The sequence below is a fragment of the Homo sapiens genome, chromosome 5 (genome assembly GCF_000001405.40).
Source record: "Homo sapiens chromosome 5, GRCh38.p14 Primary Assembly".
Classification (NCBI taxonomy): domain Eukaryota; kingdom Metazoa; phylum Chordata; class Mammalia; order Primates; family Hominidae; genus Homo; species Homo sapiens.
In genome coordinates this window covers 148316728-148341431 of record NC_000005.10, presented here as the reverse complement: position 1 = coordinate 148341431, position 24704 = coordinate 148316728, and the positions used below count along the sequence as shown (strand labels likewise).

General features: G+C 37.2%; 1 protein-coding gene and 1 long non-coding RNA gene across 3 annotated transcripts in view; one reads left to right on the top strand and one right to left on the bottom strand.

Moving 5' to 3' along the window:
- FBXO38-DT (FBXO38 divergent transcript) overlaps nt 1–24704 on the top strand; it is a 115544-nt gene that overhangs the window by 42419 nt on the left and 48421 nt on the right. The window lies entirely within an intron of this gene.
- SPINK9 (serine peptidase inhibitor Kazal type 9) lies at nt 1580–20127 on the bottom strand. 2 transcript variants are annotated; one of them, XM_017009709.2, is made up of 4 exons: nt 17564–20127; nt 4979–5010; nt 2827–2954; nt 1580–1765 (listed from the first exon to the last, which is right to left on the bottom strand). In XM_017009709.2, the coding sequence occupies exons 1-4, from the start codon at nt 17679–17681 to the stop codon at nt 1720–1722; spliced, it is 324 nt and encodes a 107-aa protein (XP_016865198.1). In that variant the 5' UTR covers nt 17682–20127; the 3' UTR covers nt 1580–1719. The 2 variants fall into 2 exon arrangements, with proteins under 2 accessions (XP_016865198.1, NP_001035523.1); NM_001040433.2 differs by lacking the exon at nt 17564–20127 and adding an exon at nt 5764–5873.

Sequence of the window (24704 nt, the reverse complement as noted above, 5' to 3'; positions counted from 1 at the left end):
TCTTTATCTTCTAGGCTCCAGCAATCCTCCTGCCTTGGCCTCCCAAAGTGCTGGGATTACAGGCATGAGCCACTGTGCCTGGCTGCTTCTCATTTCTCAACCCCATGGCCAACCTCCCCCAACTCCAACTCACTGCTCTTGCCCACCATTTTCTTTTGCTGACTTCTATCCATCCTTCAGGTTTCTGCTTATAAGTTACCTTCTCAGGGAAGTCTTTCCTGATTACCCAGTCTAAGTCTAGTTTTTTCAAATATGTATATTTAAGATTGATGTATTGTTAACATAGTTCTTCCCCTCTATACTTAAAGCTCCATGAAGAAAAGACTAATGTTTATATTTATTTGCTCTCTGATTCATTTCTAGCAGCATCTGGCAGAGTGAATATTTAATAAATATTTGGTGAAAAGATGGATGAATAAATTCTAGGTTAATATTTTTAATTCCTTTAAAGAGTTTCTTTGAAGAGCACTTTTTTTCCCTCCCTAAATTCCAATCAACAAATTTTAAAGAGAGTGTTTTTAAGTAATGTTAGTGATGGTCTTGCATCATTCCGAAAGTTTAAAAAAAATGTAAAATAGAAAGAAAAGAAAAGAAACAACAAACACCATTGTACCTGAATTCTGTGGAGGTTAACATGGGTCATTCTGATAGACAGTCTTGTTCCCTAAATCTCTGATGAATTTGCAAGACCAGATCATAGCTCAAAAATGGATTGACTACATTTTCTTTTTCTCCCTCTTTATAGATAATATATAGGTAGGTTTTCATATGTTAAATTCATGGGTGACTCTGTTATAATCTAATGAAAATGTTGCTTAATTTCAATTAAATTTATTGAGCATGTTTCTATATCAGTTTTATGCAAGATGCTGTACCAAGCATAGGAAATTTCTTCACAGAATATAAACTCCAAGGTGGCGAGACCATATCTACTCTGCTCAACATTGTATTCTCCAAGGCAGAACACTGACACTGACAAAGTAGGCCTTAATAGATACTTGTGATTGAATATATGCACAAATGGATTACAAAGATTTACAAGGCATATTCTCTGGTCTTTAAGAAACTTATGATATAATAGTAGGATAAGCTAAATTTCAGGTCTCAGACCTGAGATCAAACATTCAAGAAAGAAAAGTATCAGAGACGTCAACTAATATGTGAGAAATTGCACAACTTTACCAACCATTTTTTTTTACCAGCCGCATTTTACAAACATATTCTCTGGTAGGAAACAGTTGGAGAGCAGTCCCAATCCAGAGCAATTCTCAGTGTCTTAAACCCAAGAGACATCTAGCAAAGCAGTGTTTTCTGATTCTTGTGCCTGAAGGGTCTCTCTTTATCTGTTCACATTTCATGGATGTTCAATAACTGAGTAATGTACATGGAGTGTTTTCCTAGCCTGGGTAAGAACAGTGCATCAGCTTCAGGGCCTTTAATTTTCTAGTTCCTATTACTAGTCTTAATTGGCCCTTTTTTTCTCCCTAAAATTATCTATTAGACAGCACCCAAAAGTAAAAAACAAATCTAGAAAATTCAACTCAGTTCCCCCCCAAAAAAAGAGTCAGGTGCACATTTATTTCCCTTATATCTGCTTTATTCTACAAAGAAATCTACATATGGTGATGAGTAGGCAATGTGGCATAGATAATATGGGAACAGAAATGTGACTCTTGTGAATAGATGCATTAAAAGATATTTTGGACTCACAAGATAGATTTAACATTTTCCAAAATGTACAAATTTAAGTGTGCCGTCAGTTTTCCTGTGGAGAGAATATAGCAACAAATGAGAAATGCTGAGCCCATAGGCATTTCATTAGCATCCAAACTTCACTAATGAATCCCAAAAATGTATTCAAGTTTCCCCGCTTATTGATGTTTTTAAAAGGAGTGACTGCAATTTAGAAATATTTTTGAAACTGGTGCTGATTATATAAGGATGATGCTCAAATACATCACAATTTATATCCCTGAAAACAGAAATGTTTTAATTTTTTTTTAATTTAAGGGAAACACACATTTAGAAGTCTCTTTTCATAAAAATTGTTATTTTTCTTTTATTAAAAAAAGAACCAGAACAATATGCCACATATGTTAGATGCTCGTTTGTATTTCATCTAATTCATCTATATTTTTTAAAATATTTAAAATGACCCATATGTTTTTATACATTCCAGTATATCATTCATTATTTTATAATTTTTGAACTAATGTTAATATATCTTGGAGATGATTAGTTTATAATCTTTAAACTACTTTTGGCTACCTGATTTTTTAAGTGTAATTTTTACTATAGCACCAACATATATTCTGTTGAGATATAATACTCTGAAACAGAAAAAGTTCTTCAGATTTTGCAGATATTATCCCCTTTGTACCAGGCATTAGGGGGCTCTAACATATCCAAGCCTAGTTGCTAAAGCTGAACAAAAACATGGCTCATTCTACCAGATGTGGATGGGATGCTTAGGAGGGAGGATACTCCTTGACCCTGGAAATAATCCAGGTGGACTGTGAGACTACTTGGTAACTTTTCTGTAGAGGAAGTTTAAGCAATAGATTATCAAGTGGAAGTTGAACTAGATGACCATATATTTCCTTTCAACTTGGAGATTTTAGAATTCTCTGATTCACTCTTACTTCCAGAATATGTGGGGATATTGTGATATCAGGGACTCCCAAATTCTACCAACTGGAAGGTTCTGTTTGTTAGAGACAGTATGATATGATTCACATATTCCTTAGGCCCTACATCACACCTTCTAATTTGTCTTAATATATACTTTTACCTTAAATATGAAAAAGAAAACATTTTAATACTTACTTAACTTTAGAACAGAAGAAGCAATCATTTTTATAAGTTTTGCCATCAGATCCACAAATTGGATCATACATATGATGACAAAATCTCTGTTGTCCTGGTGGTAACTTTTTATAATGACTGCAGTCAACCTGAAAAAACATATTAAAAACCTTCAACTCTTTCAACCAAATCTTTATTATCAGGATTTAGGATTTTTCAAGCAAGCTCAGAGGGCTCTCAATGCATGTTTCTTATTACAATTGTTGGTTCTCATCTACCCCCTTCAAGACATTTCAAATGTAAAGATGTTTTATGTCAGATATAAAATCATGACTGATAAACATCTTTACCATAGTTGGTTCCCAAATCATACCTTAATGTAAAAATAGATTTTTTTCTCACAATACTGGTTGATGTATCAGTTCTTAAAATACATGGCATATTCTCAAATGCAACCATTCTCATGGGAGTACTCAGAAGTGTGATATATTTTCTGTAGGAATTATCCTACTATTTCTGTCTTTCACTGAAAAAGCTCAATATGAATGCAAGTGTGAAATGTAGGGATAACTACTATCATTTTAATGACTAGTACATTACTGACAGATTTTTACTACTAATTATTGGTAACAATTTACTTGTTATATACTTCACCAGCACATAGATGAATATATCTTAATATTGTAGTTGGGAACCAGTGTTCTAAATTCCTAGAGCAAAGCCTGTGGAAGTAGGTAGGCAATTCCCAAGAAAAGTTTTTCATATTTTTTAAAAAATCTATGAGCATATAGAAGAGCATATAGAGTAAAGTCAAACACATCTGAATGCAAATTCTATGTGACCCTGTAAAAATTTTTTTACCTCTCTAAACTTTAGTTTTTTTATCTGTAAAATAAAGATAATAACCACATTGTAGGGTGGAAGTAAAAAATATGTAAATGAAAAGATATGTGTACAATGCTTAGCACTACATTGCATGGAAAATATTGAATGAATAATAGGCACAATTTTTTATCTTTTGATTTCTCTTTCAGGTCTACACAAACTCCAGCTGTATACAAAAGACTGCATCTCCAGCTTGTTTTGTCTGAGAGGTCTAGGCATGATATTTTATTAATTGTGGACTATCTCTACTTGAATAGCTTGGAATATACTCAAACTTAAAGTTGAATTCTTCCTTCCCTCCAGATGTGCTTCATTAATTAATTCATTCATTCATTCATCAGCTTCCATACACCTCCTGTTATCGGGCTAAGGTTAGTGGAGCTGATGCAAAGATAGGTATGCATGGCATAATGGCAGGAGGACCTTAGAGGCTAGTGCAGCAGAATAGAAACAGCAGTGCCTGATGATAAGTATATGCCAGCGTGATTTCACTTCCTCTTCTTGCCTGCTCAAATCCCAGGGAGACAGAGTTTATGTGATACTCAACAATGTGATGGGAAACTACCAAGCTCGTAACTTTCAGTAATCCTTTACATCCTCTCACAGCTACTAAATCATGAAGGATGGCTTGAACTCAGGCCCATCTGACTCCAAAATTTATATCCTTAACCCTATTATTTTCTTTAATAGGTAAAACAGAAGCCTCAAAGACATAAAATAAATTTCCCAGGCCCCAGTGTCACACAGTTAATAAGCAACAGAGTTTAGAGTGGAACTCAAATTGAGTACCAAATAAGATTTTTGCTACCACACCTAGATTTTTTCAACAATACTCATTACTGTAACCTGAGTCATGAATGGAAGGCTAAATTAAAGTCCTTATTTTCTAAGACAGAGAACAAAGATATGTGTGACCCATTTAAAAATTATAAGAATCATGACTTGCCCTTATTGAGTTTCACTCTATGCCAGGCACTGTGCTAAGCTCTTTTCAAATACTATGGCTTCAAGTCTTGGAATAATGTTATAAGTATGTTGCCCATGGCCACGTGATCAAAAACGTGGAATTAAAGACCAGGCCTTTCTAAATTTGTTGCTAGTGTCTCACCACCTTGTTCTACTCTCTCCATTTTAGAAAGATCTGCCTACAATTTTTGAAATAAAACCAGTTTTCATACACATAAAGTAAATATTCAAACATATAGAAATTTAATTACTGTGTAGTATCAAATATTTCCTTACTGATATTGACTTTAAAATTACATAAAAGTAGGATGGGTGTACTGACCATCTGTTTCGTCTGTTTGGCACATTCTATACCTGGAAGAAAAACAAAGACAAGGCAATATTAAACTCTGGAAGAACCTAATCTTACTAGAAAAAGAATCTTTGATTTATGCTTTAGCTTTCAGCCTGTCATAAAAATGTAAGTCTCTCTTCACAACTGTGTATCAGCATTGTATCAAAGGTTGAAGCTCTTCACACGTATCTTTAAATTTTTTTTCTTTTTTGGAGTGGGAGTGGAATCTAGTCAAAGAAATGGAAAAGATGCCACGATGAATGAGAATTTTGTCTTAATCTTTTTTACTTCATAACCAGAGCTCAGTAGAGACAGAAGAAATAAGTGAGTCATATTTAGGGAGATGTGCTATTGTGGACAGGTGTAGATGACAGATGTTGGAACAGTGGTTGAAAATTCTAGGGAGGCCAATTTTAACTCAATAATAGAAGAATAGCCCATGGTGCCAAACAATTGATTGTAATGTTTTATGAATAAATGAGTTCCCTGTAAATGGTGACATCAAGTCAAAGCAGAGTCTGGATGATCCTCTCCCTAAAAAATTATACAAAGTATTCTCATGAATAAGCATTTGACTTTAGATGACTGTTAACATCCACTCTACCCCTGAGGTGATGTGATTTAGCAATTCGTTGGTTGAGGCAAAAGATTCATTTTAAAAAGTTTCCCTTATTATTTATGTGATGAATTACATATATCCCAGAATTACATAGGCAGAAGACTGCATGAGCTATTAGTACAAGGGCAGGGGCAGTATTATCAGAGATACTCACTGAACATGGTTGCAAGTGTCAGAGCCAAGAGTAGGACTATGGCTGTTGCTCTCATAGTACTGAAGTGGCCAAGGCAGTCAGATGTAGGGAAAAGAAGTGACCTGGTGTCCGTCCAGCTCACTTTGATCCTGCCTTATATATTTTCAAGAATTCCTGCCTCAATTGTGAAATAGCAATTTCTAAGTAGTACAACTCCAGAAAGAGGTCAGAAATGTCTGCGAGCCATGGGGATTCTTTTCTTGTGAAAGACAGGTAATTGCACATGCCATTTTAATAGCTAGTCCCCAAACCCAGGCTGATGGATGAAGAATGAGATGGTAGCTTTGCTTTGAACTACAATTACGTACATAATCAGTGGCATTTTTCATTTCATACAATAACTTGCAATAGACAAGCCAGCAATCTTTTGGCCATGGTTTAATAAGTTTTAATTGTTCCTTAATTAAACCATGAGTCATTTGAATTCTTTAATAAAGGCTACAAAAGTGCTGATTTTGGAATGGGCTAGGTTTCAGATAGAGTGACTATGAGAAAACTCTGGAAGAAGCTCTTGCAGGTGTTGTAGGTAGAATTGGAGGACACTTTATACTACTAATGGAAGTATTAGTATCTAAGGCTGAATTTCACATTTATTTCCCTTCTAAAGTAAAGAGATAGCTGAAACTTATTCTGGTATGATCTGGGGACAAGATCATCATACTATCTCTGAGAGCTGAAACTTTGGGAATCTTGCACACCTGAACTAATTGCCAGCTACACCACTCTCCATGTGACCTTGTACAAGCTATTTATCCGCTATAAGCCTTGGCTTTTTTTAATCTTCATTTGATCATCTCATAAATATTAATGAGCATTTACTCTGTCTTAGAGACTGTATTTTATCTTGAATATGCCACAGTCCATGAAAAACTGACTGCTCTCATGTAGTTTGAGAAAGACCGTCTTCTTTTTTTTTTTGGAGACAGAGTCTTGCTTTATCACCTAGGCTGGAGTGCAGTGGCGTGATCTCAGCTCACTGCAACCTCTGCCTTCTGTGTTCAAGGGATTTTCCTGACTCAGCCTCCCAAGTAGCTGGGATTACAGGAGCATGCCACCACACCTGGCTAATTTTTGCATTTTTAGTACAGACCGGATTTCACCATATTGGCCAGGCTGGTCTTGAACTCCTGACCTCAAGTGATCTGCCTGCCTTGGCCTCCCAAAGTGCTGCAATTACAGGCATGAACCTCTGTGCCCAACCGAAAGACTCTTATCTTCTTGATCAAACTTATTTAAGGTCCTCTGGACCCTTTTCTTGACTAGGCCTTGGCATTGGCCCTCATTTTGTCTTTGGCCTCCCCAGCTCCCAATTTAGTAAAGAACTTACTAAATTTAGTTTTAGTAAAGAATCCTACTAAATCATAATCATCCCCCCCAATTCTTAATATCTGATCACCCTTGATATCTGATAAAGTTCCTTATCCTCCACCTCTGACATATAATTGCTTAGCCTGCCTTTAGTAAGAATCCTATTAGGTCTTTTTATCAAGAATCCCCCCTACCCTTAATGTCTTCTATTAAGTTTTCTATGCACTGACCCCCTCATTATTCTTCTTGGCTATAAATCCCCACTTGTCCCTGTTGTGTCCAGAGTTGAGCCCAATCTCTCTTTCCTATTATAATAATTCTATTATATTAGAATTAAAGGAATCACCCTGCAAAGGTGATGATAATAGCAATAACAGTAAGCATACTTACTGAGCACATACTATGCCTCGGGTACTAGTGTAACTGCTATAAGTATACTAACTCATTTAAATTTCAAAACAAGTTAATGAGACAAGTATTATTACAATCAAGAATTTAAAAATGAATGAAGTGAGGTACAGAGAAATAAGTTTTTCAAGGTCATAAGAGTAAGTAGTAGTCAGGGAAGAGGTGGGACTAGACTCCTGAGGCAGAGCTTGGACACTGGAACAAATTGGGAACTAGCCAAAACAGGTCCAGAGCATAAGGACTTCTCCATAAGACATGCCTCACAGTATGCCATGTCAGTTTACCATTGCCATGGCAACACCCAGACATTACTGCCCCTTTCCATGGCAATGACCTGACAACCCCATAGTTACCACCTTCATCCTAGAAATTTCTGCATAAGCTGTCCCTGAATTTGCATATAATTAAAAGTGGGTAAAATATGAGTGCAGAACTGCCTCTGAGCTGCTACTCTGGGCACACTGCCTATGGGCTAGCCCCGTTTAACTCAGCAAGGAGCAGTAGCTGTGCTGCTGCTGTATACTGCCACTTCAGTAAAAGATGCTGTGTAACACCATCAGCTCGCCCTTGAATTCTTTCCTGCACGAAACCAAGAACCCTCCTTGGCTAAGCCGCAATTTTGGGGCTTGCCTGTCCTGCATCAGTAGAGTTGGAAAATGCTATGTAAAAACATGACATATTAAACCGATAAAAGAAGTGTGCTGTTAGATGAAGTGGGAATGTGGGTATGTGGCAGCCTGGTTTCCTTGTACTCCTCTTTCCACAATGACCCCTGGATCATGCTCATGGAGTCCTCTTGGCTACTTGGAGTAATGGGAAGATCACTAGTCCAGATGAGAAGTTCCCAAATTTCAAAATCCGGACTGTGATAAAGTTTTTGTCATTATGAGGCAAAATATGAAAAATTTTTAAATGCTACCAACTTATTATTTGGGAACCTTATTTAAGACTCATCTTTAAATTAAAAAAAAATTACTGTATAAGTTTCTCAGGTGAGGTAAAGATGATCTCTAGAGTCCCATTTCTGACTTGAAGTGGGTATAATTCCTTGACAGTGAGTGAAGATGACCTTTATTCACTGACTTGTCAGGGAGCATCTCAGAGAGCAAGTAGAAAAATCCAAGTTAATGTGAGTTATTTAGCAGCCTCATTGTCAGTCCCACTTTTCCCTCTATGATGAGTCCAGCTCTTCACTTTAGTGGAACTTTAGAATAGTCCATGGTATTTTCTGAGGAGAGTCCAATAAAATTACAGCTACTGAAAAAGAGGGAGAAAGCCTGTTTAACATTGATATTTTGTTCTTGAGAAATATTTCAAAAAGCCTGGTGAACTTGAGTTCCCATTATGTACTACTGCTTTTGCACCACTTTTCCAATTATAATCTTCCAGATGTCCCCCACTTTATCTGTCGTGAATGCTCATCTAGCACAGATCCTAGAAAAACCTATTGGTATCGCTATTTACTTCCATTTTACAGAAGGTAAATGAGTCTCAGGTTAAATCACATTTCCAAGGTTTCAGATTAAACAACTTAATTTGTAATATGTGTGTGTTGGGAATGGGGTAAGTGAGCACAGCCTTATGGTTTACTTGAGAATTTACTGAACAACTCAGCCTGTGTGGCAAATCCCCTCAGATTCTCTATGGCATTTAACATTCTGAAGTAACTGCTGTGCTTTGAGGTTGCTCTTTTGGAGGCTGACCTCCTTCATAGGAACAGATTTATCACGTTACTAGTACCCACTTTACACAACAGTCAGGAAGAACACCTTTTTAAGTTTATAACTTTTTCTTTTGAATTTTCTATTGCAAGAATAGACCAAAGAACTTCATATGTACTCTTTGCCTTAAGGCCACATTCAAATTTTGCCATCTGTGCCATTTGCCATCAATGCCTTTATAGAAAACTGACCCCAAAGAGCAAGATACACTATTGTTATAATGGTCATATTCCTCAAATTGATCTACAGATTCAACATATTCCCTATCAAAGTCTCAGTTGGCTATCTGAGAAAGAAACTCACATTTTCCAATATTAAAATTTACTACAAAGCTATAGTAATCAAAACAGTATAATAGAGACATAAGGATAGTCCAAAAATAAATTCTTTTATGGTGAATTGATTTTTTGAAATATAGTTTTATTTTATTTTTAATTGACAAATAATAATTGTATACATTTATGGAGTACAATGTGATGTTTTGATGGATGTATACATTGTGGAATGATCAAATCTGGTTAACATATCAATCACTTCAAATACTTATCATTTTTTTGGAGAACATTTAAAATCCACTTTTTTAGCTATGTTGAAATATAGAATACGTTATTATTAACAGTACTCATGCTGTGCAATAGATCACCAAAACAGATTCTTCTTTTCTAACTGAAACTTTGCACCCTTTGGCCAGTGTCTTCCCTTTCCCTCTCCACTTCCCGACCCATAGCTTCTGGAAACAACCATTCTACTCTCTCCTACTATGAGTTTGATTCTTTTAGATTCCACATATAAGTGAGATCACGTAGTATTTATTTGTCTTTCTGTGCTTGGTTTATTGCACCTAGCATAATATCTTCTAGTTTCATCTATGTTGTCACAAATGACAGAATATCCTTCTTTTAAGGCTGAATAATATTCCATTGTGTATATCACATTTTAAAAATTCATTCCTCTAGAGGGGTGGAGCCAAGATGGCCGAATAGGAACAGCTCCAGTCTACATCTACCAGCATGAGTGACACAGAAGATGGGTGATTTCTGCATTTCCAACTGAGGTACTGGGTTCGTCTCACTGGGGAGTGCTGGACAGTGGGTGCAGGACAGTGGGTGCAGCGCACCGTGCGTGAGCCGAAGCAGGGCGAGGCATCACCTCACCCAGGAAGTGCAAGGGGTCAGGGAATTCCCTTTCCTAGTCAAAGAAAGGGGTGACAGATGGCACCTGGAAAATCGGGTCACTCCCACCCTAATACTACGCTTTTCCATCGGGCTTAGCAAACAGCACAACAGGAGATTATATCCTGCACATGGCTCGGAGGGTCCTACGCCCATGGAGAAACTCTATAAGCCAGAAGAGAGTGGGGGCCAATATTCAACATTCTTAAAGAAAAGAATTTTCAACCCAGAATTTCATATCCAGCCAAACTAAGCTTCATAAGTGAAGGAGAAATAAAATCCTTTACAGACAAGCAAATGCTGAGAGATTTTGTCACCACCAGGCCTGCCCTAAAAGAACTCCTGAAGGAAGCACTAAACATGGAAAGGAACAACCAGTACCAGCCACTGCAAAAACATGCCAAATTGTAAAGACCATCAAGGCTAGGAAGAAACTGCATCAACTAATGAGCAAAATAACCAGCTAACATCATAGTGACAGGATCAAATTCACACATAACAATACTAACCCTAAATGTAAATGGACTAAATACTCCAATTAAAAGACACAGACTGGCAAATTGGATAAAGAGTCAAGACCCATCAGTGTGCTGTATTCAGGAAACCCATCTCACGTGCAGACAAACACATAGGCTCAAAATAAAGGGATGGAGGAAGATCTACCAAGCAAATGGAAAACAAAAAAAGGCAGGGGTTGCAACCCTAGTCTCGGATAAAACAGACTTTAAATCAACAAAGATCAAAAGAGACAAAGAAGGCCATTACATAATGGTAAAGGGATCAATTCAACAAGAAGAACTAACTATCCTAAATAAATGTGCACCCAATACAGGAGCACCCAGATTCATAAAGCAAGTCCTTAGTGACCTACAAAGAGACTTAGACTCCCACATAATAATAATGGGAGACTTTAACACCCCACTGTCAACATTAGACAGATCAACGAGACAGAAAGTTAAAAAAGATATCCAGGAATTGAACTCAGCTCTGCACCAAGCAGACCTAATAGACATCTACAGAACTCTCCACCCGAAATCAACAGAATATACATTCTTCTCAGCACCACACCACACCTATTCCAAAATTGACCACATAGTTGGAAGTAAAGCACTCCTCAGCAAATGTAAAAGAACAGAAATTATAACAAACTGTCTCTCAGACCACAGTGCAATCAAACTAGAACTCATGATTAGGAAACTCACTCAAAAGCACACAACTACATGGAAACTGAACAACCTGCTCCTGAATGACTACTGGGTACATAACAAAATGAAGGCAGAAATAAAGATGTTCTTTGAAACCAACGAGAACAAAGACACAACATACCAGAATCTCTGGGACACATTCAAAGCAGTGTGTAGAGGGAAATTTATAGCACTAAATACTCACAAGAGAAGCAGGAAAGATCTAAAATTGAAACCCTAACATCACAATTAAAAGAACTAGAGAAGCAAGAGCAAACACATTCAAAAGCTAGCAGAAGGCAAGAAATAACTAAGATCAGAGCGGAACTGAAGGAGATAAAGACACAAAAACCCCTTCAAAAAATCAGTGAATCCGGGAGCTGGTTTTTTGAAAAGATCAACAAAATTGATAGACGGCTAGCAAGACTAATAAAGAAGAAAAGAGAGAAGAATCAAATAGATGCAATAAAAAATGACAAAGGGGATATCACCACCAATCCCACAGAAATACAAACTACCATCAGAGAATACTATAAACACCTCTAAGCAAATAAACTAGAAAATCTAGAAGACAGGGATAAATTCTTCAACACATACACTCTCCCAAGACTAAACCAGGAAGAAGTTGAATCTCTGAATAGACCAATAACAGGCTCTGAAATTGAGGCAATAATTAATAGCTTACCAAACAAAAAAAAGTCCAGGACCAGATGGATTCACAGCCAGATTCTACCAGAGGTACAAGGAGGAGCTGGTACCATTCCTTCTGAAACTATTCCAATCAATAGAAAATGAGGGAATCCTCCCTAACTAATTTTTATGAGGCCAGCATCATCCTGACACCAAAGCCTGGAAGAGACACAACGAAAAAAGAGAATTTTAGACCAATATCCTTGATGAACATTGATGCAAAAATCCTCAATAAAATACTGGCAAACCGAATCCAGCAACACATCAAAAAGCTTATCCACCATGATCAAGTGGGCTTCATCCCTGGGATGCAAGGCTGGTTCAACATACACAAGTCAATAAATGTAATCCAGCATATAAACAGAACCAAAGACAAAAACCACATGATTATCTCAATAGATGCAGAAAAGGCCTTTGACAAAATTCAACAACACTTCATGCTAAAAACTCTCAATAAATTAGGTATTGATGGGACGTATTTCAAAATAATAAGGGCTATCTATGACAAACCCACAGCCAATATCATACTGAATGGGCAAAAACTGGAAGCATTCCCTTTGAAAACTGGCACAAGACAAGGATGCCCTCTCTCACCACTCCTATTCAACATAGTGTTGGAAGTTCTGGCCAGGGCAATCAGGCAGGATAAGGAAATAAAGGGCATTCCATTAGGAAAAGAGGAAGTCAAATTGTCCCTGTCTGCAGATGACATGCTTGTATATCTAGAAAATCCCATCATCTCAGCCCAAAATCTCCTTAAGCTGATACGCAACTTCAGCAAAGTCTCAGGATGCAAAATCAATATACAAAAATCACAAGCATTCTTATACACCAGTAACAAACAGAGAGCCAAATCATGAGTGAACTCCCATTCACAATTGCTTCAAAGAGAATAAAATACCTAGGAATCCAACTTACAAGGGATGTGAAGGACCTCTTCAAGGAGAACTACAAACCACTGCTCAATGAAATAAAAGAGGATACAAACAAATGGAAGAACATTCCTTGCTCATGGATAGGAAGAATCAATATTGTGAAAATGGCCATACTGCCCAAGGTAATTTATAGATTCAATGCCATCCCCATCAAGCTACCAATGACTTTCTTCACAGAATTGGAAAAAACTACTTTAAAGTTCATATGGAACCAAAAAAGAGCCCGCATTGCCAAGTCAATCCTAAGCCAAAAGAACAAAGCTGGAGGCATCATGCTACCTGACTTCAAACTATACTACAAGGCTACAGTAACCAAAACAGCATGGTACTGGTACAAAAACAAAGATATAGACCAATGGGACAGAACAGAGCCCTCAGAAATAATGCCACATATCTACAACTATCTGATCTTTGACAAACCTGACAAAAACAAGCAATGGGGAAAGGATTCCCTATTTAATAAATGGTGCTGGGAAAACTGGCTAGCCATATGTAGAAAGCTGAAACTGGATCCCTTCCTTACACCTTATACAAAAATTAATTCAAGATGGATTAAAGACTTACATGTTAGACCTAAAACCATAAAAACCCTAGAAGAAAACCTAGGCAATACCATTCAGGACATAGGCATGGGCAAGGACTTCATGTCTAAAACACCAAAAGCAATGGCAACAAAAGCCAAAATTGACAAATGGCAACTAATTAAACTAAAGAGCTTCTGCACAGCAAAAGAAACCACCATCAGAGTGAACAGGCAACCTACAGAATGAGAGAAAATTTTTGCAACCTACTCATCTGACAAAGGGCTAATATCCAGAATCTGCAATGAACTCAAACAAATTTACAAGAAAAAAACAACCCCATCAAAAAGTGGGCAAGGGATATGAACATAGGCTTCTCAAAAGAAGACATTTATGCGGCCAAAAAACACATGAAAAAATGATCATCACTGGCCATCAGAGAAATGCAAATCAAAACCACAATGAGATACCATCTCACACCAGTTAGAATGGCGATCATTGAAAAGTCAGGAAACAACAGGTGCTGGAGAGGATGTGGAGAAATAGGTAAACTTACACTGTTGGTGGGACTGTTAACTAGTTCAACCATTGTGGGAGACAGTGTGGCGATTCCTCGGGGATCTAGAACTAGAAATACCATTTGACCCAGCCATCCCATTACTGGGTATATACCCAAAGGATTATAAATCATGCTGCTATAAAGACACATGCACACATATGTTTATTGCGGCATTATTCACAATAGCAAAGACTTGGAACCAACCCAAATGTCCAACAATGATAGACTGGATTAAGAAAATGTGGCACATATACACCATGGAATACTATGCAGCCATAAAAAATGATGAGTTCATGTCCTTTGTAGGGACATGGATGAAGCTGGAAACCATCATTCTCAGCAAACTGTCGCAAGGACAAAAAACCAAACACCGCATGTTCTCACTCATAGGTGGGAATTGAACAATGAGAACACTTGGACACAGGAAGGGGAACATCACACACCGGGGACTGTTGTGGGGTGGGGGCAGGGGGAGGGATAGCATTAGGAGATATACCTAATGCTAAATGACGAGTTAATGGGTGCAGCACACCAACATGGCACATGTATACATAGGTAACAAACCTGCAGGTTGTGCACGTGTACCCTAAAATTTAAAGTATAATAATAATAAAAATTCATTCCTCTGTTGATGGGCACTTTGGTTATTTCTATATCTTGGCTATTGTGAATAATGCTGCAATGAACATGGAAATGCAGACATCTCGTTGACTACCAGTTTCAGTTTCTTTGGATGTATACCCAGAAGTGGGATTGCTGGATAGCATGGTAATTCAATTTTTAGTTTTTGAGAAACTTTTATGTCATTTTCCAAAATGACTGTACTAATTCACAATCCCACCAACAGTGTACATATTCCTTTTTCTCACATTCTCACCAACACTTGTTATCTTTCATCTTTTTGATCCTAGCCAATCTAACAGGTGCAAAGTGATATACTATTGTGGTTTTAATTCACATTTCTCTAGTAATTAGAGATGTTGAGCATTTTTTCATATATCTGTTGACCATTTGTATGTCTTCATTCAAGAAATGTTTATTCAGGTCCTTGTCCCAATTTTAATAGTTTTTTTGTCACTGAATTGTTTGAGTTCCTTGTATATTTTGGATATATGGCGAATTGATTTTTGACAAGGGTGCCAAGACAATTCTTCGGAGAATAATCTTTTCGAAAATTCAGGCTGGGACAACTGGATATCCACATGCAAAATAACATAAGATACCACATATAAAAAGTAACTGAAAATGGATCAGAGAGTTACATGTAAAATCTAAAAATGAAATAACTTTTAGAAAAAACCCAAAGTGTAAATCTTAGTAACCTTTGAATAGGCAATGATTTCTTAGATATGACATTAAAAGTACAAGACAAAAGATATAATAGGTAAATTGGACATTATGAAAATTGAAAGATTTTGTGCCTCAAAGGACAGCTCACAGAATGAGAGAAAATATTTGCAAATCATGTATCTTATGAGACACTGGTATCTAGAATATATATAAAAAATTACAGTTCAATAATAAATCTGATTAAAAATGAGCAAAGGATTTGAATGGACATTTCTCCAAAGAAATGCAAAAGGTCAATAAGCACATGAAAAGACCGCTAACACCATTAGTTATTAGGGACATGAAAATCAACATCAGTTATCACTCCCCATCCATTAGGATGGTTAAGATAAAAAAGACAGGTGACGTGTTGGTGAATAGGTAGAGAAATTGGAACCATTATACATCGCTGGTATAAATGTAAATGAAAATGTAAAATGGTGAAGCTGCTTTGAAAAATAGTTTGGTAGCTCCTCAAAAAGTTAAACATAGAATTACTAGCAATTCCACTCTTAGGTATTTATTCAAGATTATTGAAAACATGTCCACACAAAACTTGTACATGAATGTACATAGCAGCCTTATTTATAAAACCCCAAATTGGAAACAACCCAACTATCCATCAATTTATGAATGATTGAATGTCATATATCCATGCAATGGAATATATTTCAGCTGTATAAAGGAATGAAATACTGATACATGCCACAACATGGATTAACCTTGAAAACTTAATGCTAAGTAAAAGAAGCCAGACACAAAAAGCACATATTGCATGATTTTATTTATATATAATGTCAAGAATAGCAAGTCCACAGACAGAAATTAGATTAGTGATTCCCAGGGGTTGGGAGGATAGTAGGGGGGTAGATAGGAGTGACTGCTAAGGGAATAGTTTCTTTTTGGTATAATGAAATGTCCTGGCATTAGATAGCGGTGATGATTGCACAATTTTGTTAACAGACCAGAAACTACTGAAATTTATATTTTAAAAACATGAATTTTGACTCTCTCTCTCTCTCTGAGGGTACAAAAAGCCATGAATTTTATGCTTTGTAAATTATTTCCCATTAATAATAATAATAATAATAAGACCCATTCAGGATCATGCATTATCATGTTCTTCAGTCTTCTTCAAGGCATAACATTGAAACAGTGCTTTCTTGGTTTTGGAAGTTATAGACCAGTGATTTTGTAGAATGTTTCTGAATTTGAGTTTGTCTGATATCTCATAATGATTATATTCAGGTTGTGCATTTTTGTTAGAGAAATCGAAACGTTATTCTGTGTTCTGCATATTGTATCTTTTCAGCCAGTATATATGATGTTGATTTGCCTATCATTAATGATGTCAACTTTGATCACTTGAGTAAGGGCAGTGTCTGAATGATTTTTCTACTATAAAGTTACTCTTCTTTCATAATTAATAAACTTTATGACGAGATTCTTTGAGATTATGTAAATATCTCATTTTATGTTGCAAACCCATACTATTGAGCTCAATAGGCCATGTTTTAATGGGATAAACTATGTAAACGAATGTGTATAATCTTTGTATGTTCCAAGTTATACATTCTCCTTTTCACTTTCTAATATCAATTTCTAACGAATAGAAATGTTTTCATTTTTCAAGCAAGGGGAAAAAAACTTGAAAAATTACTGGTTGTATTTCTTTAATATGCCATGCATGTTGCAAAGAAAGTGATTTATGTTTTTAGGCCTTAGTAAATATTGGAGAAGGATGGGCATTCAGATCATAATTGTTTCTTTAGATTTTTGTAGGACATTATAGTTTATAAAGCATGTTTGCATGCATTATCTCATCTGACTCCCACAATATACATGTCTAATTAGGGGTGATTATTCTCTTTATTTTATAAGTAAGGAAAGAAATACTTTAGATACACATTAAATTACTTTCGCGGGCTACATACCTTGTAAATGTTCAGGTTGCGTTAAGCCCATGAGTCTCCTGGGTTCATTGTGTTCTCCTGAGCTGCTTGGTGGAGTTTTATAATGAAAACAATGATGAGAAGGATTCATAAAGACCATAAAGATGCAAATGCTGATTGATCACACAGAGAGACAAATCTCAATGAAATCACTTCTTCTCCAATACCTAACCTTCAAAAGGTAAAATTTTAAAAACAAATTTACTTCACATTCATATGACGGCAAGTTAGCAGCTTCCCATGTGGGAATGATTTACTCTTCCTAAGAATAAAGAAGGAAAGAAAGTTAATAAAGTTAATATATATGTCATTGTAAGAAATACTTATAAATTCCATTGACATTAAACAGTTTATAATGAAAAACCAGTCTTTTATCATCAGCATCACACTTCAGTGGGAACTCATTTGAACCATTTCTGTTTTTAGATTATTGCCATCATAATTCTTAATAATATACATCTATTGCCTTACAAGCTAAAATTATTTGTTGACTCCCACCTATGGAGGAAAAAAGTATTAATTTACATTTCCTTTTCATTCATCCCAGTTTTTGATAGGCATATCATGACTTTTTAAAATTCTGCTTGTTAACTTTGTAACCTAAAGTAATGTACTTTAGTCACTATTTCTATGTCATCATCTTTAGACAGTATCTCATAACCCAATAAGTAGTTCATCTGTCTCCATACACTTCCCTCAATCAGCATTTTTGTCTAGCGATTTTTCACCTCTATTTTTACTTTTATATTTCATACATTAAAAATATGCATGTTCTGTTCTGTATTCCATAATTGTATCTTCTATATTTTGCTTATAGGCGGGTTTTAAAATTTGAACAGCAATAACTATTTTTAAATTCATTTATAAATATTAAAAGGATTCTGGGAATGTATCCATTGTAGACCAAATCTAGACTTCAATTTCAGAAAGATTGGGGATACTTTTAAGGTCGTGAGTTTTGATAAATGCTGGAAGAAAAAGGTCAGCATTATCAACAGTCTGGTGTCTACTTTGGATGTCATATAGATTGCAGAACTAAGCCTGCCCTGGTCTCCTATGAAGCTAGATGTTTCCTTAGCTTTCTTATGTAAGTCTGCAGAACAAACGTTATTTAGACCCTGAGCCAGTAGACCCGTCTGCCACTTACAGCCCTACAACTGGGCTATGAAAGTGTTTTGTAAACTATAAAGTTCTTTATAGATATACGTACTAGGTCATATCATAGTAGAAGGAATTTGATTTCCAGGTATCATAAGATATAGTGGATAAAACTCTGGAAATAGTATTTGGTCCCTGAATTGATTGGGACTAAGCAGACCTGGGTTCTTCTCTTGGACTTCCACATAAGCAATGAAGCATTTTCAGCTTTTGGAGCTCAGTGTTTCCATCCATAAAATGAGGCTGTTGACTGGCTCTCTTCCATTCCTGACAGTGAGGAATTATTAAAGTAAAGACGTATATTTTGTGCACATTCTATATCATTGTTCCATTGATATCTTTACCTGATCTTCATGTACAGTTGGCAGGGATTGACATAAGTTTTTCTATGTGTACCACACACAGGGGTAAAGATGAGCTCCCAGTGTCAGAGTATACTTGTGTTATGATCAATGTATCTATTACAGAGTATACCTGTGTCATATCAATATATCTATTACAATTTACCTGCAAGCTTTCATGTACACAGGCTGTAGACTATAGTGATTAAACATATGGGGTATAAAGTCAAATCATCAAGGCAAAAATGCTAACTAACTTTGTGGTTTTCTATAAATACCTTCTTGCCAAATCTCAGTGGATAACAGGAAATTTCTCATAGTATAATTGAGAGAAATAAATGAAATAACAAACATAAAACATATTTCACAAGTTCTAGTCTAAAACAACTGTTAGCCATCATTATCTTAGATTATTTGAAAGTTAGACAAAAAAAATTGCTAGGGCTTTTGAGTAGTATACAGTCATTGTGAGGAAATACTCAATATAAAATATCTTTATTTTTACTCATACAAATTGATTACTGCAAACTATTTCCTGCAATTATTTATTCATTGGGAAACAATGCTTTTCTTTGTGGGTAAGTAATGACTTGGGGAGATCTCAGCTTCATTGATGCTTTCTCAAAACTGATTTTTGCTCATACAGGTCATATGTTAGACATAATGTAAAGATATTTTAGTTATAACTTATTTTCCCTAGATTTTAAGTCAATGATACCATACTGATGTTGAAAATCAGGGTGGCATAATGAAAAGAGGATTGGACTTGGACTTGGAATTAGAATATATGGCATTTAATCCTAGGTCCCCACCTATGCTTTCTAGCTTAATTTCCCTCGTTTGTTAAAAAAAAAAAAAAAAATTGCACCAGTCCATCCTATCACAGAGAATAAAATTAAGAAATTCTCATTAAAATGTTTTAAAATTCATTTCATCTTCCATCACTGATACCCTTTCTTCCAGTTGATCGCATCGGCTCCTGAGGCTTTTGCATTCTTCATGTAGTTCTTGAGCCTTGGCTTTCAGCTCCATCAGCTCCTTTAAGCACTTCTCTGTATTGGTTATTCTAGTTATACATTCGTCTAAATTTTTTTCAAAGTTTTCAACTTCTTTGCCTTTGGTTTGAATTTCCTCCTGTAGCTCGGAGTAGTTTGATTGTCTGAAGCCTTCTTCTCTCAACTCGTCAAAGTCATTCTCCATCCAGCTTTATTCCATTGCTGGTGAAGAGCTGCGTTCCTTTGGAGGAGGAGAAGCGCTCAGCTTTTTAAAGTTTCCAGTTTTTCTGCTCTGTTTTTTCCCCATCTTTGTGGTTTTATCTACTTTTGGTCTTTGATGATGGTGATGTACAGATGGGTTTTTGGTGTGGATGTCCTTTCTGTTTGTTAGTTTTCCTTCTAACAGACAGGACCTTCAGCTGCAGGTCTGTTGGAGTTTGCTAGAGGTCCACTCCAGACCCTGTTGGCTTGGGTACCAGCAGCGGTGGCTGCAGAACAGCAGATTTTCGTGAACCGCGAATGATCACGTGAACCGCGAATGATCACGTGAACCGCGAATGCTGCTGTCTGATCATTCCTCTGGAAGTTTTGTCTCAGAGGAGTACCCGGCCATGTGAGGTGTCAGTCTGTCCCTACTGGGGGGTACCTCCCAGTTAGGCTGCTCTGGGGTCAGGGGTCAGGGACCCACTTGAGGAGGCAGTCTGCCCGTTCTCAGATCTCCAGCTGCGTGCTGGGGGAACCACTGCTCTCTTCAAAGCTGTCAGACAGGGACGTTTAAGTCTGCAGAGGTTACTGCTGTCTTTTTGTTTGTCTGTGCCCTGCCCCCAGAGGTGGAGCCTACAGAGGCAGGCAGGCCTCCTTGAGCTGTGGTGGGCTCCACCCAGTTAGAGCTTCCCAGCTGCTTTGTTTACCTAAGCAAGCCTGGGCAATGGCGGGCGCCCCTCCCCCAGCCTCGCTGCCGCCTTGCAGTTTGATCTCAGACTGCTGTGCTAGCAATCAGCGAGACTCCGTGGCCGTAGGACCCTCCGAGCCAGCTGCGAGATATTATCTCGTGGTGCGCCGTTTTTTAAGCCCATCGGAAAAGCGCAGTATTCAGGTGGGAGTGACCCGATTTTCCAGGTGCCATCTGTCACCCCTTTCTTTGACTAGGAAAGGGAACTCCCTGACCCCTTGCGCTTCCTGAGCGAGGCAATGCCTCTCCGTGCTTCGGCTCGCGCACGGTGCCCTGCACCTACTGTCCTGCGCCCACTGTCTGGCACTCCCTAGTGAGATGAACCCGGTACCTCAGATGGAAATGCAGAAATCACCCATCTTCTGCGTCGCTCACGCTGGGAGCTGTAGACCGGAGCTGTTCCTATTCAGCCATCTTGGCTCCAGCCCCCACAACCCTTCATGCTAAAAACTCTCAATAAATTAGGTACTGATGGGATGTATCTCAAAATAATAAGAGCTATCTATGATAAACCCACAGCCAATATCATACTGAATGGGCAAAAACTGGAAGTATTCCCTTTGAAAACTGGCAAGACAGGGATGCCTTCTCTCACCACTCCTATTCAACGTAGTGTTGGAAGTTCTGGCCAGGGCAATTAGGCAGGAGAAGGAAATAAAGGGCATTCCATTAGGAAAAGAGGAAGTCAAATTGTCCCTGTTTGCAGATGACATGATTGTATATCTAAGAAACCCCATTGTCTCAGCCCAAAATCTCCTTAAGCTGATACGCAACTTCAGCAAAGTCTCAGGATACAAAATCAATGTACAAAAATCACAAGCATTCTTACACACCAATAATAGACAAACAGAGAGCCAAATCATGAGTGAACTCCCATTCACAATTGCTTCAAAGAGAATAAAATACCTAGGAATCCAACTTACAAGGGATGTGAAGGACCTCTTCAAGGAGAACTACAAACCACTGCTCAATGAAATAAAAGAGGATACAAAGAAATGGAAGAACATTCCATGCTCATGGGTAGGAAGAATCAATATCGTGAAAATGGCCATACTGCCCAAGGTAATTTACAGATTCAATGCCATCCCCATCAAGCTACCAATGACTTTCTTCACAGAATTGGAAAAAACTACTTTAAAGTTCATATGGAACCACAAAAGAGCCCGCATCACCAAGTCAATCCTAAGCCAAAAGAACAAAGCTGGAGGCATCATGCTACCTGACTTCAAACTATACTACAAGGCTACAGTAACCAAAAAAGCATGGTACTGGTACCAAATCAGAGATATAGATCAATGGAACAGAACACAGCCCTCAGAAATAACGCCACATATCTACAACTATCTGATCTTTGAAAAACCCGACAAAAACAAGCAATGGGGAAAGGATTTCCTATTTAATAAATGGTGCTGGGAAAACTGGCTAGCCATATGTAGAAAGCTGAAACTGGATCCCTTCCTTACACCTTATACAAAAATTAATTCAAGATGGATTAAAGACTTACATGTTAGACCTAAAACCATAAAAACCCTAGAAGAAAACCTAGGCATTACCATTCAGGACATAGGCATGGGCAAGAACTTCATGTCTAAAACACCAAAAGCAATGGCAACAAAAGCCAAAATTGACAAATGGGAGCTAATTAAACTAAAGAGCCTCTGCACAGCAAAAGAAACTACCATCAGAGTGAACAGGAAACCTACAAAATGGGAGAAAATTTTTGCAACCTACTCATCTGACAAAGGGCTAATATCCAGAATCTACAATGAACTCAAACAAATTTACAAGAAAAAAACAACCCCATCAAAAAGTGGGCGAAGGACATGAACAGACACTTCTCAAAAGAAGACATTTATGCAGCCAAAAACACATGAAAAAATGCTCACCATCACTGGCCATCAGAGAAATGCAAATCAAAACCACAATGAGATGCCATCTCACACCAGTTAGAATGGCAATCATTAAAAAGTCAGGAAACAACAGGTGCTGGAGAGGATGTGGAGAAATAGGAACACTTTTACACTGTTGGTGGGACTGTAAACTAGTTCAACCATTGTGGAAGTCAGTGTGGTGATTCCTCAGGGATCTAGAACTAGAAATCCCATTTGACCCAGCCATCCCATTACTGGGTATATACCCAAAGGACTATAAATCATGTTGCTATAAAGACACATGCACACGTATGTTTATTGCGGCATTATTCACAATAGCAAAGACTTGGAACCAACCCAAATGTCCAACAACGATAGACTGGATTAAGAAAATGTGGCACATATACACCATGGAATACTATGCAGCCATAAAAAATGATGAGTTCATGTCCTTTGTAGGGACGTGGATGAAATTGGAAATCATCATTCTCAGTAAACTATTGCAAGAACAAAAAACCAAACACCGCATATTGTCACTCATAGGTGGGAATTGAACAATGAGGACACATGGACACAGGAAGGGGAACATCACACTCTGGGGACTGTTGTGGGGTGGGGGGAGCGGGGAGGGATAGCGTTAGGAGATATACCTAATGCTAAATGACGAGTTAATGGGTGCAGCACACCAGCATGCCACATGTATACATATGTAGCTAACCTGCACATTGTGCACATGTACCCTAAAACTTAAAGTATAATAATAATAAAATTTAAAAAAATACAAATAAATGTTTTAAAATGATAAAATTCTGTTTGAAAACAAGATTTAAAAATTTAAATGAATGCAATAGCTTTAAAACAACTTTTACAAAACTTGATAAATCATATACAGACTCAAACTAATGTTTGGTCTCACTAAGAATATCTAAAAAAGAAGAAAACAGTGAAAAGGATCAAAATTTGCTCTTTAAAATTATTTGCAGACAAGAAGTTTTTAAAATTCGTAGTCAATTTAAGAACTATTTTCCATTTTCCATCAGACAATTTTGTGATGTGATTTAGCACTTACCATTTTTTACCCTAAGTATGGTCGTAGACTTTATGGATGACAGAGAGGGAGTGCTCATTAATAACCAGATGCTTACCAGAGGAAAACCAAAATACCAGAATGAGGACAAGCAGGATGTGACCAACAACTTGGAGAAGACTGTTTCTTTGCTGTGGATACTGTGTTGAGTGAATGTTCCGGCTAAATTCTTGTCCAAATAGACCTATTTGCATGGATCTGCACAGAGGCTGCTGGGAGAGGGTGAGTTGTTATGAGCCAGTTAGTAAGAGAAGTAGAGGTTGGGTTCCATTCTCACTTGCCAGGAAGGACTCTGGTGAATAACCACAGTTCTGCCATGCTGGGCTCAAATGAAATTTCACCTTCTCTAAGAGAGATTTCCTGTTAATCTCATGCAGTAGTGATATTGCTTTCAACCGGGACCCTCTTGTATTGAGCTGGGTCAGACATCTATCTCTGAATTTTCTAATTCTGAATATATACCAATTAAAAAAAATTAGATTGTTTAGGGCTTTCTTCAGTTCTATTGAATGATAATTTGTAGGGTGGAGTCCTGGCATCTTTATTTTAGTTCATTCCTCATTATTCTTATGCAGCAAGCCTGGTATTTGCAAACACGTCAGATTTTATTCTAATGATGTTTCTATATTGTAAACATGATCCTTGGCGTATTCAGCTGCATTAATAGAAGGGAAGGTTTAGTAGAGAGGTGGTAGTTTTAATTTCTCTGTATCTGTCGG

Coding starts and splice junctions, on each gene's coding strand:
- SPINK9 (XM_017009709.2), bottom strand. CDS start 17,681: ATGGTCTTTATGAATCCTTCTCATCATTGTTTTCATTATAAAACTCCA. Junction 5,011..17,563: donor GCAACCTGAACATTTACAAG/GTATGTAGCCCG, acceptor TTTTTCTTCCAG/GTATAGAATGTGCCAAACAG. Junction 1,766..2,826: donor TTCTTCTGTTCTAAAGTTAA/GTAAGTATTAAA, acceptor TTCTCTCCACAG/GAAAACTGACGGCACACTTA.